Below are 1,972 nucleotides of genomic sequence, written 5' to 3'. Positions count from 1 at the left end.
GTTGTGCTAGAAAAGGCACTGGAAATGGAGTCATAATATCTAAATGCCAATTCTGACTGGTACTTACTGTTTGTGGTGACTGGCAATTCGTTTAGCCTTTTTGAGCCCCAGGTTCCTAATCTATGAAAAAAGGAGAATGGTATAGGATCCCAGCCTCACAGATGTGTTGGGAAGATTAAATTTTAAAAAGGTTGAAAACAATTAATTAGAAAATGCTCTACCAAAGTTAGTTTTTATTTAGTAGACAGTTAGATGTTTTCCTCTCCCTGTTACCTGGGGCCACTTTGGCTTGAATAACAACCTAAAGGTTTGATCAGAGCAGTCCAGAATGCCTATATTTGTGCTCTTAAGGAAGAGTGACTTAAAGATGATTTAGTAGTAGGTAATAACTCCAATTAAGCTCTCAGAGACTTATCCGAGGGTAAATTGGCAGGTCTTGTCGCAGTCAGGAGTCATTTACAGAGATATATTTTCTCCTGTGTTACTGTAGAGGAAAAAGTGTAGTGTATGTCTAACACAGGCACAACTCTATGCAAATCAACATGTGAAAATTCTTACATAATATATTAATGTAAAGGAAATATTTTCTTTAAAAAAATTCTCGCTGAGATTCTTTGCAACTGCCAGTACAATCTTATTTATATTATTAATTAGTGACAATCTTTTCAATTCTGTGAAATAACACTGATAAATACCAATGGGATTACGAACTTGAACCCCTGAAATACTTTCGTAAGACCAAGCACTAATCAAAACTACTTTGTAGTTGCATATTTATTTGAAGAAATGCAAATCAGAAAATAGCACCTACTAAAAGATTTGGTTTAAAGGGGATGAGATGTGGGAGATGGGGGGACAAAAATATGGAAAACCTAGCCAAAATAGCAATTTTGGTTTTGTTTAAAAATCAGTTTGCTGTTTGTCTCTGGATGATCAGACAACTTAATCCAGAAAGAGATGAGGAATGTTGATATTGTGGATGATGAAGAAAATCAACTTGATAAAATTGAAGAGGTTTGTCCACTAAAGGGCCACATATAAGAGACAGCAGTAACTTCCAAGCCTAAGGGTGCATAAAACAAGATTCGTGCATTTAGAAGTTTTTAATACAACAATTAGAAGTCCTATCTGTCTAACTATTAAAGATCTGAACATTTTTGATTTGGAGCAGAAACTGATTAAATATAAACTTTTGCTCCTCTATCTTTCTTGTGTGTGTCATGTCTAAATGTCTCAATGGTTTTAGCAGCAGTCGTGTCTGCCTAAGAGAAAATAGGGCACTATGTAATTATCAGGAGAAATTAAACTACTGGGCTTCATTAGAGAAGTCACCCCTTACCTAGAGCGTTTGCTCTAAAAACCAGCTACTTAGTAAAGATTGATTTGACTACTTAGTGAGCTGTAGCTAAAGCCCTGTTACCTTTCAGTGATTTCAAAGCTCTTCTTAAACCTCCTTTTGATTTCACAGCTAATCTATTGCTTCTCACTCTTCAAGGTTTTCAGTGCCTTTGAAAAGACCACCTGAAGGGAAAGAGATTACTGATACGATTACAATAGAAACAGGTTAAAACAAGATGTCAGGAACCCAAAATAAGACAGCAGTCGCTGGGGGTTAAAATTAGATGCTGTCTTCTTTGACTGTCTTTTTTCTTTTTTTCTTTTTTTTCTTGGGCTCAGGAATAAATCCATTCATCTTTTTTCTAATTTGCCATGCCCCTTTTCTACCCCCAGGAGTCAACCAGAATGTTAGAGGCCTCAATCTTATTGGACAAAGAACAGGTTCCCACAATCGGTTTAAAAAAAACAAAAACCTACTATTTACCTGGGAAGCTGTATTTAACTTATTAAAAATCAGGTGACATGCAGAGAAATTAGATCACTTATACATTGCTAGTGGTAATATAAAATGATACAGCCTTTCTGAGAAATGGTTTGAAAGTCTTTGGCCGGGGGGCGGGGGGTTGGTTGGTTT

At 36.2% G+C, this 1,972-nt stretch overlaps 1 annotated feature.

The window, feature by feature from the left end:
- Positions 1,172 to 1,752: an enhancer, noted in NCBI's record as "NANOG hESC enhancer chr2:159819504-159820084 (GRCh37/hg19 assembly coordinates)". NCBI's record gives its function as "activates a minimal SCP1, AML or CMV promoter by ChIP-STARR-seq in naive H9 embryonic stem cells {active_cell/tissue: H9 hESC(naive)}" and the evidence as "EXISTENCE:reporter gene assay evidence [ECO:0000049][PMID:30033119]".

The sequence above is a fragment of the Homo sapiens genome, chromosome 2 (assembly GCF_000001405.40).
Source record: "Homo sapiens chromosome 2, GRCh38.p14 Primary Assembly".
Classification (NCBI taxonomy): domain Eukaryota; kingdom Metazoa; phylum Chordata; class Mammalia; order Primates; family Hominidae; genus Homo; species Homo sapiens.
Note: the sequence above shows the minus strand (reverse complement) of the source record. Positions and strands in the feature narration are given on the sequence as shown.